The sequence below is a fragment of the Homo sapiens genome, chromosome 5 (genome assembly GCF_000001405.40).
Source record: "Homo sapiens chromosome 5, GRCh38.p14 Primary Assembly".
NCBI classification, from domain to species: domain Eukaryota; kingdom Metazoa; phylum Chordata; class Mammalia; order Primates; family Hominidae; genus Homo; species Homo sapiens.
In genome coordinates this window covers 107,392,519-107,411,349 of record NC_000005.10, presented here as the reverse complement: position 1 = coordinate 107,411,349, position 18,831 = coordinate 107,392,519, and the positions used below count along the sequence as shown (strand labels likewise).

The 18,831-nt window shown below is 37.9% G+C and overlaps 1 protein-coding gene across 3 annotated transcripts in view, besides 1 other annotated feature; it reads left to right on the top strand.

The window, feature by feature from the left end:
* EFNA5 (ephrin A5) overlaps positions 1-18,831 on the top strand; it is a 294,044-nt gene that overhangs the window by 259,588 nt on the left and 15,625 nt on the right. The gene's annotated exons all lie outside the window — the stretch shown is intronic.
* Positions 9,195-9,732: an enhancer, noted in NCBI's record as "OCT4-NANOG hESC enhancer chr5:106737319-106737856 (GRCh37/hg19 assembly coordinates)". NCBI's record gives its function as "activates a minimal SCP1, AML or CMV promoter by ChIP-STARR-seq in naive H9 embryonic stem cells {active_cell/tissue: H9 hESC(naive)}" and the evidence as "EXISTENCE:reporter gene assay evidence [ECO:0000049][PMID:30033119]".

The window sequence follows — 18,831 nt, the reverse complement described above, 5'->3', positions numbered from 1 at the left end:
CAGAGTATTTTTTTTGTTGGTTTGTTTTTTAGCCTAAGGAAGTTAGGTAGTGATGCAAAATAGGCAGAAACAACCACTGGCCAAAACCAGGGTGTATTTCACTGATGAACAGTACTGTAGAATATGTGGAATAGTTCAAAACAAAGAGAAGATTTATGCAGTTAATCCTTTAAGTGCAACAGGGGCAGAGGTCAATTTACCACTTATATTTCTAGTGTGTTGTACAGTATTATTTTATCTTTATCTAGTACTCTTATATTTTTCTAGTGCTTTTGCAGGTTTAGCTGTGGTCAACAAATTAAAGAATGTGGTTTATATTTTTCAGTTAAGATTTATCTCAAATTTAATTACTTTTCTTTCTTTTAATGGATATAATATGAAAAATCAACGACTCCACGACAAAGAATGGAAAACATCCTGTTTCTTAATTTCCAGCTTTATTTCATTGGCATCAACAGAATATAAGACATGCAATAGACTGGGTTAAGTCTCATTTCTGCCACTGCCCAACTCTAATCAGATCTAGGGCCAGTCATATAAGTGAGTCTGTTTTCTCAAATGTAAGAGAGGGAGTTAGGCTAGATTGAGGATCCAAAGACAGTTACAAGGAACAAGAAAATTATTAAGATGTTATAATTTCTGTTTAAATTTAAGTTAATTTTGTTAAAGTTATTTTTTTTCCTGAAAAACTTTCTGATGCCTTAAATATGATACTGTGTATTGTTAATTCTTCAAAGCGAGTGGTGCAATATACAGTGCTCACCAAATTTATTAGACCTGGGAACCCTTTTTTTATGGAGCATTTTGAGGGAACTGACTTCCATGGATTAGGTTAGATTATTTACAAAATCCCATTCACATTTAAAGTATACTAAGTATATAGTTCTCCTGGTCATAAAAATCCATTTTAATACCATTCATCATCTAGTCCTTTCTATCTGGTCAGTGCAACCAGACTTTCTGTATAGTTAAAAACACATCCTTGCCTCTAGTCTTCTTTTCAGATGAGCAACATATACAGACTAGTGTTCTCTTCCTTCAAAGACTCATGTCACTTATTGGGAGGCTGAGGCAGGCAGATCACAAGATCAGGAGATCGAGACCATCCTGGCTAACATGGTGAAACCCCGTCTCTACTAAAAATACAAAAAGAAATTAGCCGGGTGTGGTGGCGGGTGCCTGTAGTCCCAGCTACTTGGGAGGCTGAGGCAGGAGAATGGTGTGAACCCGGGAAGCGGAGCTTGCATGAACCGAGATCGCGCCGCTGCACTCCAGCCTGGGCAACAGAGTGAGACTTCGTCTCAAAAAAAAAAAAAAAAAAAAAAAAGAATCATGTCACTTAAATTCCTCTGGCTGTTCCTACAAGACCGGTTTTAAGTCTTTTATATAACTTTTGTCATCTTTCTGGAGTCCCATTTTGAATGCAGATCCAAAATGTGAGAACAAAACTTCTGATTAGATTTGATGAGTAGACCAGCATAACTCACATTCGATTTGCAGTCTGCTGTAGGCTTCATTTTTCCTGAGACATACTTGTACCTAGTAAGTGGCTTTTCTGTTCATGTGATAGGCTCTGTGCTTCTGACTCATAGCATGCCTTAACTGTCTTTATTGAACTTTGTTCCACTTTAATGAACAATTTAACTAGTTGGCTTCAATAACTAGTTACTGCACCCAAATAATTTTCCTTATAAACCTATTCGTAAGTCCATCTTACATTCTTTGATGAAAATATTAAGTAATACCTCAATTATGACTAAGCTGGGGGCTATAGAAGGACAGGCACTCACTAATACATATGCCTTCCAAGTTGGTTCTGAACATTGAGAATCCTATTTTTGCAAGGAATGACTAGCCAGTTTTGCAATCCCTAGCAATACTCAGTAGTTTCTCGTCTGGTATCTCTTTGGGACAGAAGGCATTATCCTACCTACATAGTTACACGAGAGCATTGTTCCTGCTGCATCCCATACACCCTTCCAATCTCTCACAGGCTTAATGTTTGGGGATGCCCTTGGTGCTTTTAATGGTTGGGTTCTGACTGCTGAATCCAAAAGGTTCCCCAAATTTTGATGTCTTCTGAAGCTACTCTGGATGTGGAAATGTAGGTGCTTCTAGCGCTGGTGATCCAAAGACGAAAGATGAGGCATACTCCTGTCTTTATGAGTTCATTTCCTAGGGTGGTGTAAGTATTTAGTCAATGCTTTTTGAACTGTCTTGCATCTGGTACTCCCTTCAGATTAGCAAGTGTATCCAGATTGCCAAGGGCTCTAATTGAACCTGACCCCTTGGAAGATTTTAATGTCTTTGTGTTCAAGCTTGATGTGGAGTTTATCACCTTGGACTGGGCCCCTTGGTTCAATAGTTGGTGTTACCACTCCATCCCATACAGAACCTTCAAACCTTTTGCTTCTTTCTTCAGAACAATGACATTTTCAAATTTTGTATTTTACTCTTTAAAGTGTAAGGCCCTGAGAGCAGGGACTGCATATCTTCTTTCTTATTGTAGACACAGGGGCACAAGGAAGGGAAGGAGGAATCGATAAAAGATGGTTTGGTCTGTCTGTGTGGGAGGCCAGGGCTGTCTCACTCAACATTTGCATAAGGGTCAGAGCTCACCAAGGCCTTACCAGGAGAAGTCTTGCTTTCTAGAATGAAGGGATCTGTGCCAATATAAAGAGAATGACAAGGCAGACGCTACCAAGTATTAGTAAAATTCTGTTTTTTATTCTAGAGAAAGTTTTCAACTGAAATGGAGTAGAAAGAAATAATTAATGTTGGTTTTATCCCCTTGAGGAATTCTGAACAGGTCTATATCATTTTAAACAAGCATGACATAAGAAAATTAGGATTTTACAAAAGATAAATTGCAGAGTGATTATTCCATTTACAAAAATGGAGTTCTTTTCAATAGCCCTAGAGCATTTTAAAAAGTGGTCTGTTCTAAAAATTCAGTTTACATATACTTTTCAGGATCAAATTGGTTGTAAGGAGCAAAAGTAGTTGAAAATTTTGAAAAGATAGCTGTGAGGGAGTGTAAAGAACATTTCTTTGAGATTGAGATAAAATTCTTGGCCCCTGAGAATTGAGATAAAAATTTTATAAGCCTTTTCCTTAGTAAGATGTGGTGGCAGCAGTGATGGTGATGGTGATGGTGATGGGTGTGTGTGTGTGTGTGTGCGTTGTTTTGCTGAGGGCACATTGTGGTAGTAGCTGTGGCCTTAAGTCATACATGTGTAGATACAGTATTACACTGTGCAGAGAATAGGGCCTGGTAGCCATTAGGAGAAATAACAGTTCCATTACTTCATTAGTTTTTCAAATTAGTATCACAGACAGCTCCCACTTTTCACCCCTGTGCTTTCTGGAAATAGAATCATAAAGCAGAGAGTTGTAAAATGCCTCCCGTTTTCCTTCAGGAGTAATATCTTAATTGAGACTGTGTCTCTGACCATATATTTGAGAAAAAATAAATCATAACTATGACCAACCCTATGTCAGAGGCAAAGATGCAGTAGCCATAACCTTTCATAGTTATTTAAAATGGTAAAATTATACTCTTTTCTCTAAAGGGGACATAAATGTATTATACACATTGATTTTGCGTGCACTCTAAAGAATATGTTCAGCAAATAAAAAGTTCAACTAAACTGTTTCATAAATTTTAGCAGAACTAGCTATAATGTAAATTCATTAAACATTTAATTCCTAAAAATTGGGTTCTTAGTATTTAAGAGGAGCTTTGGGGACAATTTCTTTATTCTAGTTCTGTCCTAGGTAGTTTGAGTGAACACTTCTCTTTTCTTTTGATAAGTGTCCCTGGCCCAGGTCATCTTGTTCAATATTCTTCTCCCAAGTAAGATGAACTTTGGTGAGCCACTTGATCTCTCTGAAATGCTGAAGCTTAGTTTCTAAATTTGTAAAACGAAGAGAATAAATTAAATGATCCCCCATAAACTTGAGTTTTGTGATTCCGAGATTTTAGCTTTCCGCTTGGTCTGAGGATGCGAAAGTGGTCATTGATGATGGTGGTAATGAGAATGTCTTCCAGGTCTATGTCACTCCTTAGACGTTTTCGGGCTAATCAGGGCTGCTGCTGCTCCTACTCGGCATTACTGCAAAAAAGGTCACCAAGAATAACCTAGGGCCTGCATTAGACTCAATGTTTGGTTGATAGTTTGCCATCATCTGCCTTCACCCTTTGCAGGAATGCTTTGAAAATAACTACCAAGTTATTAGTATAAGTTTTTTCAAAGGTACGTTTAAACTAATTTTGCTTTGCACAAATGTGAAGAAAAACCTAGTATATGTTGAAAAATAAGCTACTTATTCATCTTGATAGCTGATTTAAGAACCTACTTAAATTGCACGAAACTCATATGCCTAATCATATGCCAGTGATTAGACTTTTTATTTCACTTTTTTCTAATTTAAACTTGTGATTCTGCGGGCAGTTAGAGCAGATCAGTGAGAAAACAAGTGTTTTTCTTGAGGTGATGTTGTCTTTCATTCACTGATTCCTTCCTTTCTTACTTCATTCAACAGGTATTTTAGACTTTGTGAATACAACAGAGAAAAAAATAGGCAATGGCCCTGCTTTAATAGAAGCTACACTCTACTGGGGACAGGAGGCTGGGAGGGGATTAAATAAGCAAATAAATAAATATAAAATATGTCAAGTAGGTGGTAAGTACTATGATGGAAAAGTAAAGTAAGAAGAATAGAGAATGTGAAGCTGGGGAAATTGTGATATATATATATAAAACATACTTATTGTATGTGTATACCTGTGTGTGTGTATGTATGAAATAGTCAGGAAAGGCCTTTCTAATAGTTAACATTGGAGGAGGGACCTAAAGAAAATGAGGAAGCAATCCATGTGTCTATTTGGCAAGAGAGTTTTCCAGGTGGAGAGAACAGAAAAACATCCAGAGGCTGCAGAGATCGTGGGCCTGGAGAAGCACCAAGAAGGCCTGCATGGCTCAAATAGGTTGAACAAAGGGAAAGGAACGTAGACATGTGCAGAATGTGTATTAAGTTGGTGCAAATGTAATTGCAGTTTTTTGCCATTTAAAAGTAATGGCAAAAACCACAATTAATATTTGTATACATTCTATTAATTTAATATTTGTATACATTATATACAAATATATGTATTTGTATACATTCTATGTATATAAATACATAGAATATGTATACAAATACATGTATTTGTATACATTCTATGTATATAAATACATAGAATATGTATACAAATATAGGTATTTGTATACATTCTATGTATATAAATACATAGAATATGTATACAAATATAGGTATTTTTATACATTCTATGTATATAAATACATAGAATATGTATACAAATATAGGTATTTTTATACATTCTATGTATATAAATACATAGAATATGTATACAAATATATGTATTTGTATACATTCTATGTATATAAATACATAGAATATGTATACAAATATATGTATTTGTATACATTCTATGTATATAAATACATAGAATATGTATACAAATATTAATTGGTGCTATGGAGTATGGGGGGCGGTTCATCATAGACCATGGTAAGGATCTGGGATTTCACTCTGAGTCAGATTGGAGCCATTGGAGAGTTTAGAACACAGAAGTAACATGATCTGACTTAGTTTCCACCAGGATCACTCTGGACTGTTGCCCATTTGCCCCAAGTATAGCAGAATCCTTTTTGCTTCTTGGGCTAACTGAGATTCTGTGAATTCGGTCTGTTAAAGTAAGTAATTTTTGGCAAACAGATGGTATAGAAAAATGTTAACACATGCCATTAAATAGGACATTCATTGATTAAATACTTGCATTACAGAAGGAAAAAAATAGATACAAAGTCACCTTTGGTGTACCTTATTGACTTTAAGGTAAAAATGAGTGAATCTGCTGCATCTGTTACTTTTCAGAGACATCCAGAAAGGCCCTGGAATGTCTGTATGTAAATGGGGAGGTCCCTTCCTGAGACAGAGCCTTCTCAGTTGGGTTTGGATAACAGACGTTTCTGATTTGTATGTTCCTTTTGGTTCTCGTGGCACAGCATCATCAGCTAGTTTGCTTCTCTTTCCGGCCAGGGCTGAGGCATCACAGGAGTGGGAGCAGGCAAGGGCTGCCCAAATCTCAAGGGACATGCTGTGAGGTCAGAGATGGCAAGGCCAGGCTGGGAAATGTCTTCTTTCATGGCGAGTATCGCTGCCGGTTCTTCCAGTTTTCTTCTTGGAACATTAGGTTACTGTGTTTGTTTCCTGTTTCCTCCTGCCATAGTGCATGTGGGTACTTAGGAGCACATCATAAAGTCCTACTGTAGCTTGAAAAACTAAAATTTTAAAAAAGGAGTACGACAGTTACAGTAATATAATATTAAAAGGCTTTTTCTTGACATGCACCTGATTAGAAAATATGCATAGGGCATGTCTCTGCGGGCAAAATCACCATGCAGCTTTTTTATTGAAATCTGTTGCACATGCTTAAGATTACACAGTCAAGTTCTACCAAGTTTCAACCTCCCCCAGACTTTTCTGGAAGGGCCTTTAAGAGCTTCTGGGAAATTATGAAACAAATATTTGAAGTAGGGTAGTCAGGAAGAAAAGTATGATTTATACTGTAAACTGAGGTTGTATAGTTCTGGCATCAGGAAGACTTGGAATTGAATATCCGTTCCACCCTACACTAGCTATGTATGACATCGCCTAACTGCTTATCCTCCCTAAGCCTCAGTTTCCTCATCTCTAAAATGAGGATAATAATACCTGCCTCGAAGAAATGTGCTGAGGATTAAACTTAATAAACCTGGCACAGTTCCTGGTGCATGGAAATAGTAGATAATTGATAGCTGTTATAAAAATATTAATAGTATTGTACATCCTGAGATGATGTTTGCTTCCACCAAGCTCCATGTCAATTAAGAAATAATTTAATGTTTCTAATTTGTATTTGGTCAAGTTAAATAGAGAAAAATAAACATTATGAAGAAATAATATTCTAGAGTAATTGGAGTGAAAAGAATCCTAAAACAAAAATATATGTCTTGTTATTAATTCCTAAAAACGATCATGTGTAACCATTCTGCAACAGATTTATTGACTACAACATTGATTTAGAAATGCCAGACTAATGAGAACTCGCCATCACTTGTGATAATGGTCTATCATTTCGAGCTTGAACCATGTGTACTTATTTGGCCTCATTTCAGAATAGTAAATTATCTCAAACTCATTTCATTTCTTGAATATGTTCTTATGATTTAGGTCATAAGTTGGATTATATGAATAGTATCCCTATAATCCACCATCTGAAATAAGCTATATGATTCTGGGCTATTTTAAGATTGAGAAACTTCAGACATTTTTCAGAAATTACATAAAGGGTTTACAGGGTTTCTCAAGCCTCTAATTTACCTCTTTATGCTCATGCTTGATTGTTGTTCCATATTAAGGTTTATTTTCCTTTTAAAATAGCTCTGCACAAAGAGAATACACTGCTAAATACTACTGCAAGGGAATGTTTACAGATGCAAATGACTTCTATTTAGGGAGCTCATGATTAAAATTTGAAAGAATGTGGCACTAGAAAGCATGTGAATAACCTTTGAAAAATCTCACAATAGAACTGAATATGGGATATTTATATCTAGGGTTGCAGATATAAAGCTATGTGTGAATATGTATGTTCAATATGCGGCAAAGGACATCAAATTGAAATTTGTTAGTCTAATGTTACTTTAATTTAGACAAATAACTATTTTATTATTGTGAAACTGTAATGTAGAATGCAGTAGAAGGCTACTACACTAGGAAGAACTAGTGTTATGTTTGCCTGCAACGGGTGAGCCAGGCATTTTCCACAAATCTGTCTTTCTGATAAAGAGAAGAGACATCTAAATTCTTTCAATCTCTCATAGATGCTTGGATACTGAAAGTATTATTCATTATTTCATTTTTTATTGCTCACAGAGCAGGCTGCTAATAAAGTCAGAAAAAAACTGTAATCATTGGCAGACATAATATTTTCTGTCTATTCCTGTCCAGAGATGTGTTCTTGTTTTAAAGACTAACCTTCTCGGGTCATCAAAGGGATCACAAGTTGTGCAACTCATTTTGGTGGAAATCGTGTCTAACTCTTTTGGGTATAGTAAACACTCCTTCTGCTTCCCTGTGGATGGTTCTGGAGACTGGCGTGGTTCAGGCCCTGGCTATACAGGGGAACTAATGAACATGTCATGCGCATCTTGAGTTTTCCAGTCTCTGGCACAGCTGTGGCACTTCCCCCCCTGCTGCGAGGCACAGCACGCTGGCCATTTGTTGGCAAGTTCATATTTCACACTGCAGGGAATTGAAATGATTGAACAGACAGAAGAAGAGTTTTATTTGCAGTAGCCTACGTATCCCCAGACTCTGATTTGGCATAAAACATTTGCTTCATGATCTGCTTCAAGGCCAGTTCCTTTCCTCCCACAAAGGTTACGACTTCAGGCAAGCTGTGCTTCCACTGGCAGGAGGAAATTTGCCCGAAGACTTGATTTAGTCAGAATCAAAGCATCCTGCCACAGAATTTCTTTTTTCAATTATCTCCGAAGAGGCAGCCAGACTTTAAATGTATCAGTATAATAAATGTAATGAAATAAGGCAGACACTCCTTTCCCCCTGTTGCTATCAATGGAAGGTGCGTATACAGTAGTGTATCCACACCCGGAAGCCTGTGAAACTTACCTTGCTGTCAGCACATATATCTTGGCAACAGCACGTTGTAGGGATGGCTGTAGATTTCTTGTGGCATGATAAATAAATGCATGCATTGGTTTTACCTGCAGTGTTTACATCTTTCAGACTGTAAAAGCAAATTGGCATGATGATGCTGAAAGTAATTAATATTATTTTTCATAGTGAAGAAGCATCATATAGCCTTTGTTTTGTGGTATGGTCCTAATTACTAATCATATTTACCTGCATGATTTTGTTGTGCATAGTCATATTTTTTGTTCAAGACAGCCCTCGCTAGCCTTACAGACATATATACACAATTAAATCTTGCCATTTTATTATGCTAGAGCAATTAGATGCCATCCTTGTAATGAGAAACATGACATCTTCATCGCTCTTTTCTATATTTTCATGTTGTTTTAATGCAGACATTTACCAGAATTGAATACAGTCTTCCTCCTCCTCCTACACACACATACACCCCTAATTGAATATCTACATATCTCCAAGGAGTCCTGTCGGTGAAACCATGTATTCATCTTCTTTAGTTCTTAGGCCACTTTGGTTTAAGAGTAAGAACTGTTGCTTTTATGAAGTGCCTTTTTCTATAAAGTCAAAACCTCACAGCAGTGCACAGAAAGCCGATGGTATAAAGGAGCTAAGTAGAGTCTTTAATAGAGAGAGCTGGGTTGTAAGTGTTTTTGTTCCTACAGAGCAGATAGATTTGGCTCCATCTGTTCCATATTCATAACAAAGGAGCACACTTACAGGAGGGCCAACTTCCCCGGAGCCGCCTGGTAATGATCTTTTCACCCGAATGAAAGCATCTGAACCCAGTGGCTTGGCCCTGCAAAAGCAGCTAGCAGGATTGCCCTTCAGAATCTTGATTTCCTTGTAACTCAGGTTGACATAAATTTCCCCAATATATAGAGTGAAAAGAATTTACTGATTTCTCATCTTCCTACAGCCCTGTGTGGTTGGAAAGTTCAAAATGTATGTGTTTTACCTCCCCCTCCTGCAACCACAGAAGATTTGTAATTAAATAGAATTTGATAGTATGGGGGAAGTTTGCACTTGAAGTATCTGTAAAGGTATCACAGGGGAGAGGCTGTTCTTCAAACTTTTAAGTTGTTTCTATTCAGACTTTTTTAATCTTTTTAAAACTGGGGTTAATGAATAGAAATATGAGTTACACCAAATAAGGGAAAACCCCTGTTGAGTTTTGTAATTAGCAAACTTCAAAGCCAATTTCAATTGAGACCTCTTAGATTAAAAAGATAAGTTGACCCAAGAGTTTTCTTCCACTAAGCAGCGGCAAAATAGATTGATTTTTTCCTCAAAATGCCAAGTAATACAATAAATCTTCCTATTTGTGTGACATGTGGAGTCAGCATAGAAATATAAATGATTCCTTAAAACTTAAGTAGCACATCGGTATTACTATCATGGCTAATGGATAGAATACTTGTTTTTATATGTTAGCTGCAGAAATTTCTTAAGAAATAGAAACAAAATGTTAAAGGATGGTTATCCTTTTTTCCATTCTGCAGGCTTTTCATATGCTAGAAGCTCCTAAAAATGCATCATTGATTTATTTACTATACTACATGTTAAAGTTATAATTGTAATTTATCAATCTTTTGTTATCCATCTGTGCATTGTCTGATTGCTAAACTAAGGTTTCTGGGAAAATCAAATAGTAAACAAATCTCTCAATAAGCTTGCAGCAGTAATAAAGTAGGCAAAGTTTTCATCTAGCTAGCTATGAGATTGCTCTGTGCATTAGCAAGAGGAAATATAAAAGGTAATATTCACAGAGAGTGAAAAACATAGCAAATCAATCTGTGAAGATCTCAAGTTTCTGGAACACCTTGCTGCCTTTGGTTATTTTTTGTAATATATAACCTTGAATATTTCTGGCTAATTCAGTTTTCTGTTCATTCGCTTATTCACTCCTACCAAAGTGTTTCTTGGGTACCTCCTTTGTGCCAAGCACTATGTTAGATTTTAGAAACACTGTGATATATTAAAGAATGGTTCCTGCTTCTGGAGCTTACAGCTTCATCAGGAAGTAGACAATAAACCAGGAAACAAACAAATCTATAACTGTCAGTTATACTAGTAGGGAGCTGGATGCAGTGCCAGAGAAACATGGAGATAGCTTTCGATTAGGTGGTCATAGGAGGCTTCTCTGAGGAGGCAGCATGTAATCCAGGACCTGAAAGGAAGTGTCAGGATGAGTTTTTGATACACAGAAGGGTGGGTTTTATCTGTAAAATGTTTATTTAAATTTTACGCTTAAAATTTGATATTTGACTTATTGAAGTTATACATTTTTTTAAATCTTTCTAAAAATTTCAAATTTAGCCTATTCAGATTAGCTTATATGTTTTATTCTATATATAAGGCTAGCAAATGTAAATATTTGGATTCATTTAAAACCTTGGTGAATTAAATAGACTTTAAAACATTTTAAGCTGAACTTAGATTTAGTTATTCTCTATCATTTAAAAATATTTTAGTTGTCTGACTGTAAAAACTTATTTCAGTAATTCTTACTATAATAAATTAAATTTTAAAATATGATGAACCTTTAGTTCTCTTAAATGTTCCAAAACTGTACACGTAAATTATAGGTTTCATCACTGCTAAAATTTCACTTAGTCACAAATCTAAGTCGATTTTTCCATTATATATTTTAAATTAGAATTGCTTGTCTGACCGGTTACTCAAGTTGGCCAAAGTTATCCCACAGTTTAAAAGTATTAAAGTACCACATTCACAGGTGGCATTTTTTAATACACAAGAAATACTCGTTCTATGGTTTTGATTCTTTAAAAAATGCCTCTTTTAAGCTCTGCTGTGGTTGAAAGATAGTTGTATCCCTCAGCACAGTTTGGGGGGTTATGTTCTCATGTAACATCTGAGGTGCTTTAACTTGCTGAGAGGTTTCTCTGATCTTCATGATTAGAGGAATTCAGCAAGGACAATGTCACCCTTACCTGTGATCATGATTGTCCAGAGCCACCTTTTATCATTACTTAAAGAAGCCCATGGTCACTTGGATTCTAATCTCACTTTGCTTTTATTCTCTGTTCACTGGGAGGGGCCTGCAACCTGTACCCAAGCTATCATTTGATTAAATTCTACATATCTTTGGATCTAAAGATGCCCACGTTCCCATTCCTTTCTCTCTCTCTCTCTCCTTCCTTCCTTCTCTCTCTCTTCTTTCCTTCCTTCCTTCCTCCCTCCTTCCTTTCCTTTCCTTTCCTTTCCTTTCCTTTCCTTTCCTTTCCTTTCCGTTTCCTTCCTTCCTTCCTTCCTTCTTTAGTAGAGATGGGGTTTTGCCATGTTGGCCAGGCTGGTCTCAAACTTCTGACCCTCAGGTGATCTGCCCGCCTTGGCCTCCTAAACTGCTGGGATTACAGGCGTGAGCCACCACGCCTGGCCTCCTTTCACTTATTTCTTACTTCTTGGGACCCCACACTCTTACAGATATTGAAATGCTACCTACTTGAATTTTGTATATCCCTGGCTTTGCCTGATTATTACATCAGTTCCCAAGATCATTCTACAAGAAGGAGCCAGCAGTGTGGGCAGGGGAGACTTCTAGTTCTCGGACAAGGACCTTTTTTGTTTTCTTAATTTCTTTGACATTTACCACTACCCCTCTCTTCACTTTTGTGTCCTAATCCTAAATTTTGGTTCATATTAGGTCAACAAATCACGTTGCAGCTAGAAGATTTTTTTTTTTTTTTTTTTTTTGAGGCAGTGTCTCATTCTGTCACCCAGGCTGGAGTGCAGTGGTACAGACACGGCTCACTGCAGCTTTGACCTCCTGGGCTCAAGCCATTCTCCTGCCTCAGCCTCCCAAGTTGCTGGGAACATAGGTACACATCACCACACCTGGCCAATAAAAAAAAAATTTTTTTTTATATAGAGACAGGGTCTTGCCACGTTGCCCAGGCTGTTCTCAAACTCTCGGGCTCAAGCAGTCCTCCTGTCTCAGCCTTCCCGAATGCTGGGATTACAGATGTGAGCCACTGTGCCTGGCCTCGACAGATTTTTTTTAAATCCCTACAATAATTCTTCAAATCTTTATTAAACACCTGTTAGGAACAAAGCAATAGACTCCCCAGAACCTAGAACCCAAGAACACAACAACTTGGCATGGCTCCTGCCTTTGGGGGAATTTGCAACTCTAGTAGCAGAGATAAGATGTATTAACCAGTTCTAAAACAAAACAGAATGGGTTAAGTGCTAGTAAGGAGACAGAAACAGATCTCTGTGGGAACCTGGAAGAGGGTTATTGTGTTGGAGAAATGGAGACATACCTCAAGTGGCCAGAGGAAGTAGGGATTTTGAGAGGCAAAGGAAAGGTCACATGAGAAAAGGTGGACTTTCCAGGAGATTCTAGGAGGGAATATTGTTGGTACAAGCTATGAATGTATGCCAAAGAAGGGAAAAGAGTAGGAGGGATAAAGAGGGAGCCTGGGAAGTTGAGGCTGCAGTAAGCCCTGATTGCACCCCTGCATTCCAGCCTGGGCCACAGAGAGAGACCGTGTCTCAAAAAACAAACAAACAAAACAAAGGAGAATAAGGTTGGGACCAGATTATGGAAAAGGAAACCCTGGCTGCTGTTCTGTGGTATGACGAATGGGAATGCACAGCCATTAACTTTTCTGCAGATAATCCGTCTCAGAGACAATCAGAGTAAACTAGAATTTAGTCCCTGAGATTGGCTGTCCTTTTCTCCACTCAATCAACATAAAAGCCTTATCATGGAAAGCATTTTGAGTGTGAAACAAAATGTACAATCCTGGTATCTAACGACTCCCTCCTTGGTAAAATTTCATCTTCTACAGAGAGAACGTTAATTTGTTCAGGCCTCTAGGATTCCATTTGGAGAGCCTCCAGCCTAAATGAATGGATATTTCTATCTAGATACTTGTAATATCACCAGAAATGATAGGCATTGGGGAGAACATGGCTTACTGGTTAAGAAATACAACCAAAGAAATCATTGATTTGTGTAAATAAAATAGATAATTACCCCCACCCTTTTTTTTTTTGAGATGGAGTCTCACTCTGTCACCCAGACTAGAGTGCAGTGGCGTGATCTTTGCTCACTGCAACCTTCGCCTCCCAGGTTCAAACAATTCTCTGCCTCAGCCTCCTGAGTAGCTGGGATTACAGGCGCCTGCCACCACGCCCCACCAATTTTTGTATTTTTAGTAGAGGTGGGATTTCACCATCTTGGCAAGGCTGGTGTTGAACTCCAGACCTAGTGATCCACCTGCCTCGGCCTCCCAAAGTGTTGGGATTACAGGCATGAGCCACCACGCCCAGCCTGTTTTGTTTTCTTATTAGAGACAGGGTCTCACCCTGCCGACAGGGCTGGAGTGCACTGGCACAATCATAGCTCACTGCAGCCTCAGTCCTGGGCTCAGGTGATCCTCCTACCTCAGCCTCCCTAGTAGTTGGGACTATAGGCATTGCACCAGGCTAACCCAAATAGTATACAAAAAAAAAAATTAAAGAGTGGAGTGAGAACATTTATATATAGCAGCACAATATCCATGGACTGGTATGGGCATGGTGCGGGATCTATAGCCACCTCTGGGCTGGTTTCCTTTAGTGTCATCACTGTCATGTCTGGGTATACAGTTGCAAAAGCAGTCTCAACACCCAGCCTAGTTTCCTCTCTGCAGGATTTACATCCTTGTCCTACGGTCCCTCTAGCCTAATAGCATGCTCACTGCTCACACTCTTAACATGGATTGAAAAAAGAGCTCAGAGATCTTAACATATTTTCAAAAGGAACAGGATCTTCCAGCACCCTAATTCTCTAAATTCTCTCAGCCTCAGTGCACATCCTCACATAAATATCTTCATCACCACCCCCACCCTCCAACACACACAAAATAACAAGTCAAACTATGGTAGAATCCAGTTTTTAAAATTTATGCTAGAGAAGATCACACTTAATTACCCTTGTTTTTCTTATGACTCCTAAGTAACTTTTAATCACCACTATCCACACCTGAGCCCTTCCTCCTCCATATTTGCACTCAGAACTCACAACCTCAGAAGCCCTCAGCTGGGTGCCCCCTGCTTAGGGATATCCCCATGCAGAGGCCCCAGTAAGCGCAGAGCTGATGCTATCAATCTGTAGAATAGTGAAACAATATTCTAGATCTGTAGGGATCACCTGAGTTTCTAAGTGCATTATAAAATTGTACTGCCCCTCTAAAACAGGTCATACTTAAAATTTGTTTTAGAGAAGATGAAGCTAATGAGAAAACTGAGGCGTAGGCACGTTAAGCAGCTGGCTCAAAACCACAAAATAAGTCAAAAAGAATGAACCAGGGAGAAAGAGAATCATTATGCATACACTCAAACCGCTAAGTAATGTTTCTTAAAAGAGCCCTCACCAAGGAGAATAATAATGAAAGGGGTTTTGAAAGGCTCACAGAAATATTAACTTTTTTCTAGGAGCTTCTTTGAATTGTATTAACTTGATGATTTATTAGTAATTTACTGTCATGCTACATTAGTGCTGTCTGATAATGACATTGTTTCTGTTAATATCTTACGAATGAGGAATGGGATTTGTGGCTTTGCTTTCCTTGCCTAACGGTTAACAGCCACCCTCATAGGGTATCACACAGAGGGGCAAAGGGAGCCTGTGGAGAAGAAATAATATAAATAGTTCCTCTTGTGGGATTCTAGGAATTCTGCCTTTTGTTGGAGTTTTTGTTTTTGTTGTTATTATGGTTATTATGGGGCTTCCATCTGAAGAAGAGGTTTTCTAAGTGAATAATTCTGCCTATCTGGTTTGTTGCTGTTTTTGTCTTGTTTTGTTTTGTCAGATAATACCTCTCTAGTACAGTAAGTTCACCAAAATAACCACAAACAAGAAAGAAAGAACTGGCTGACCTTAAAGCCTGAGAAAGTCACTTAAATATTGTGTGGCCTTAGGCAAGGCGAGGTCTCAGAGAATAGTTAGAACACTAGTTGATAATAGAAAACTTTTTCTTAACTGTTCAAAGATGTTCATTGATTTTTAAAAATAGTAAAATATATAAGAAACTGAACTATATTTCTTCATGTTAAGAAATTTCTTAGACAATTAAAATGATATCTAAATATTATCTTGCTTTCTGTGCCTGTGAGGACTAGATTTCCCCACTCACATGACTGACAGAGGTGAAGTTTACATTCAGAATGTGAGATTTATTTAAAGCTGTCTTAAATTTTCCTTAGGCAGAACTAGAAATGGGCCAGGCATGGTGGCTCACACCTGTAATCTCAGCACTTTGGCAGGCTGAGGCAGGGGGATCACTTGAGGTCAGAAGTTCGAGACCAGCCTGGCCAACATGGTGAAACCCCGTTTCTACTAAAAGTACAAAAATTAGCCAGGCATGTTGGCATGCACTTGTAATCCCAGCTACTCAGGAGGCTGAGACAGGAGAATCGCTTGAACCTGGTAGGTGGAAGTTGCAGTGAGCTGAGATTACACCACTGCACTCCAGCCTGGGCGACAGAATGAGACACTGTCTCGCGGAAAAAAAAAAAAAAAAAAGAACTAGAAATCCTTCTTATAAGGGGACATTTTAAAATCATTCTCCAAAATCCACGTTATTTTTGGCTCATACCTAAATAGATATCAAACTATATGAGACAAATCATCCCCTTCTTCAATAAGCAGCAGAAACAAAGTTTGTTGTCACTGAGCTTTTAAACGCAAGTAAAAGTTTGCTCATACTTCAGATAAATATATACAAAAAGCATGTTAGTGTGCTATTGGAGTATTCCTAGAAATGAGTGGAAACTTGTCCTCAGCCATTTACTTGAGGTGGCTAAGAAAAAGTAATTGATCTACTGAGACTTACCTGCTGGAATTTAAATAATACTCAGGTTAGTTATTAGCAGTGAGAACTTTGCCTTAAGGGGGCAGAGAGATAGGAGGGAAGGCAAACAGTGGGTAGGATGGGTGGTGCTTCCCATTTCTCTTTTGTGTGTGGCTGCACAGCTGGAACTTATTTTACCTCCCTTGTCCTGAAGTTTACTCTAATTATTTTTTCCTTGTTACAGTTCCCTGGTGTTAAAACCAAGTTTTAACTTGCAGAATATGTTTTTCTATCCCTCTTGTTATGTGGTGGGAAACACATCCCTTTTCTTATTCTGGTTTTTAAAAGAAACATCCCCAGAGTCATATCAAAGTTTCTAATATTTACATGATATTCTTATTTCTCCAAGGCCTCTATCTTTACTTAGTGACCTCCTTTCCAAATTTTACGTCTTGGGCTCTGACCTTAACCTGCCCATGATTTAAGTCTTGAGACGCAGTGGGCTGCAAGAGAAGAAATGTGTTGGCAAATTTAGTAGCTCCTGGGGTGGCACCATGAATGCAAGCTTGGTAAACCGGGGCCATGAGCGAGTCATTAAAGCACATGACTTTTAAATCCCAAAAGTTAGAATGAGTGAGATGTATTTCATCATAACACATGATTTTGTTCTTTATATGAAAATGCTTTGTATGAAAATGCTTTTAAAAAAGGGGCACATAGCCAGTTGCAAATTGTTGCTTTAGTATTCTTCCCTAAGAAGAGGCCTAACTTTTGTTTTAACAAGTTTTCTGTGGATCTGGTAACCATTTTCCAAGTCCATATGGCTTTGATTAATCTCTATTCTGTTCCCACCACTTCTTCTGTTTCCCCACTCCACTCATGTACACAAACTGGATTTTATTGATTCATCAAATTCTAGGAGATATTTCCAGTAGTACCATGGATTTAAATGGGCTTTACTCTTTCAGCATTTATTGTGAAAGGAATATTAATGCTTAATTCCACCTTCACCTGCCTAATTTGCATATATTTGTGTTGTATGTTGAACTGCATGAAAAACCTACAGGGAAAAAAACTGGGCCGTGCTAACAGCTAATAGCCTATCTTTTCTTTTGACTTGCACGAATTGAGAAATATTGCCTGTGGCAAACATAATGGAAAACTGCATTTTTAACGCTCCCCCACACACTCATTTCTTTAAAAAGAAGAAAGCGGCTGAATATTCTTAAAAATAAAACTTCCCAAAGTACCCAGATTGACATGGGACACAGAAAAGGAGGATTTTGGCTTTCAGAATTAAGATTTGAAGCTGAATAAGGTTAGGCAGAGATGTTAAGTTTGACTAATGAGTACAGTGTTGGGCCTGAAAATGTGAAAGAAAACAATATTTCCTTCCTTTTCTGCTAAAACTTTGGTTCTTCATGAAGAAGAATGGTTGTTACCTTGATGATTAGGGAACTTTTGAGTTGTTTGAAGTCTCATAATCTTTGTATTTAACTTGATGGCCTGTGTAGAAGATAACTAATAGGAGTTTTTTGGTAGTAAGAAAAGTTTTAACTTATTTTAAAATCCTTTCATTTCAGGTATTTTTAAAGACCACCTTTCCATTCTATTTCTCCTATTTGAAGAAAGGCATTCTCCTTAAGATTTATGTTCACATTTTGTATCAACTCATTTTGGTTTACCCAGCAATTTGTAGTTAAAATGAGACATCATGCTAATTGCAAAGAACAGCACAGGTTGGCTGCATTAGCAAAAGCAAACTAAGTTGTATGCGAAGGAAAATGAAAAACACTTTTTAATACTGGAGTGAGAACATTTAAATTGATATGTCTTGTTGTATTTCTTCAACAGCAGCTTATAATTACCTCTCTTCAAGGCATATTTTAAGTGGACTTGTAACAGTAGCTTGAAATGTAAACTAGTAAGGGATCCAGTTGTTGAGGCATGGCAGCAGAATCAGGAGTGCACAGCTCTGTGGGAGCAAGGGCATGCTGGCCATTAGCAGAACATGCCAGAGTGTCTTAGTCCTTCAGTCCGAAGTCAGCTTTAAGCCTTTAACTACACAGATTTGTTAGTGTACAGCATTGTATCAGCTCTTAAGAAATTACCCCCAAATTTTGTGGCTAAAACAACGTTTATTATTTCACAGTTTCCGTGGACCAGGAATCCAGGTGCAGCTTAGCTGGATCCTTTGAGTCTCTCCCAAGGCAACGGTCATCTCAAGGCTCAGTGAGAAGGATTCACT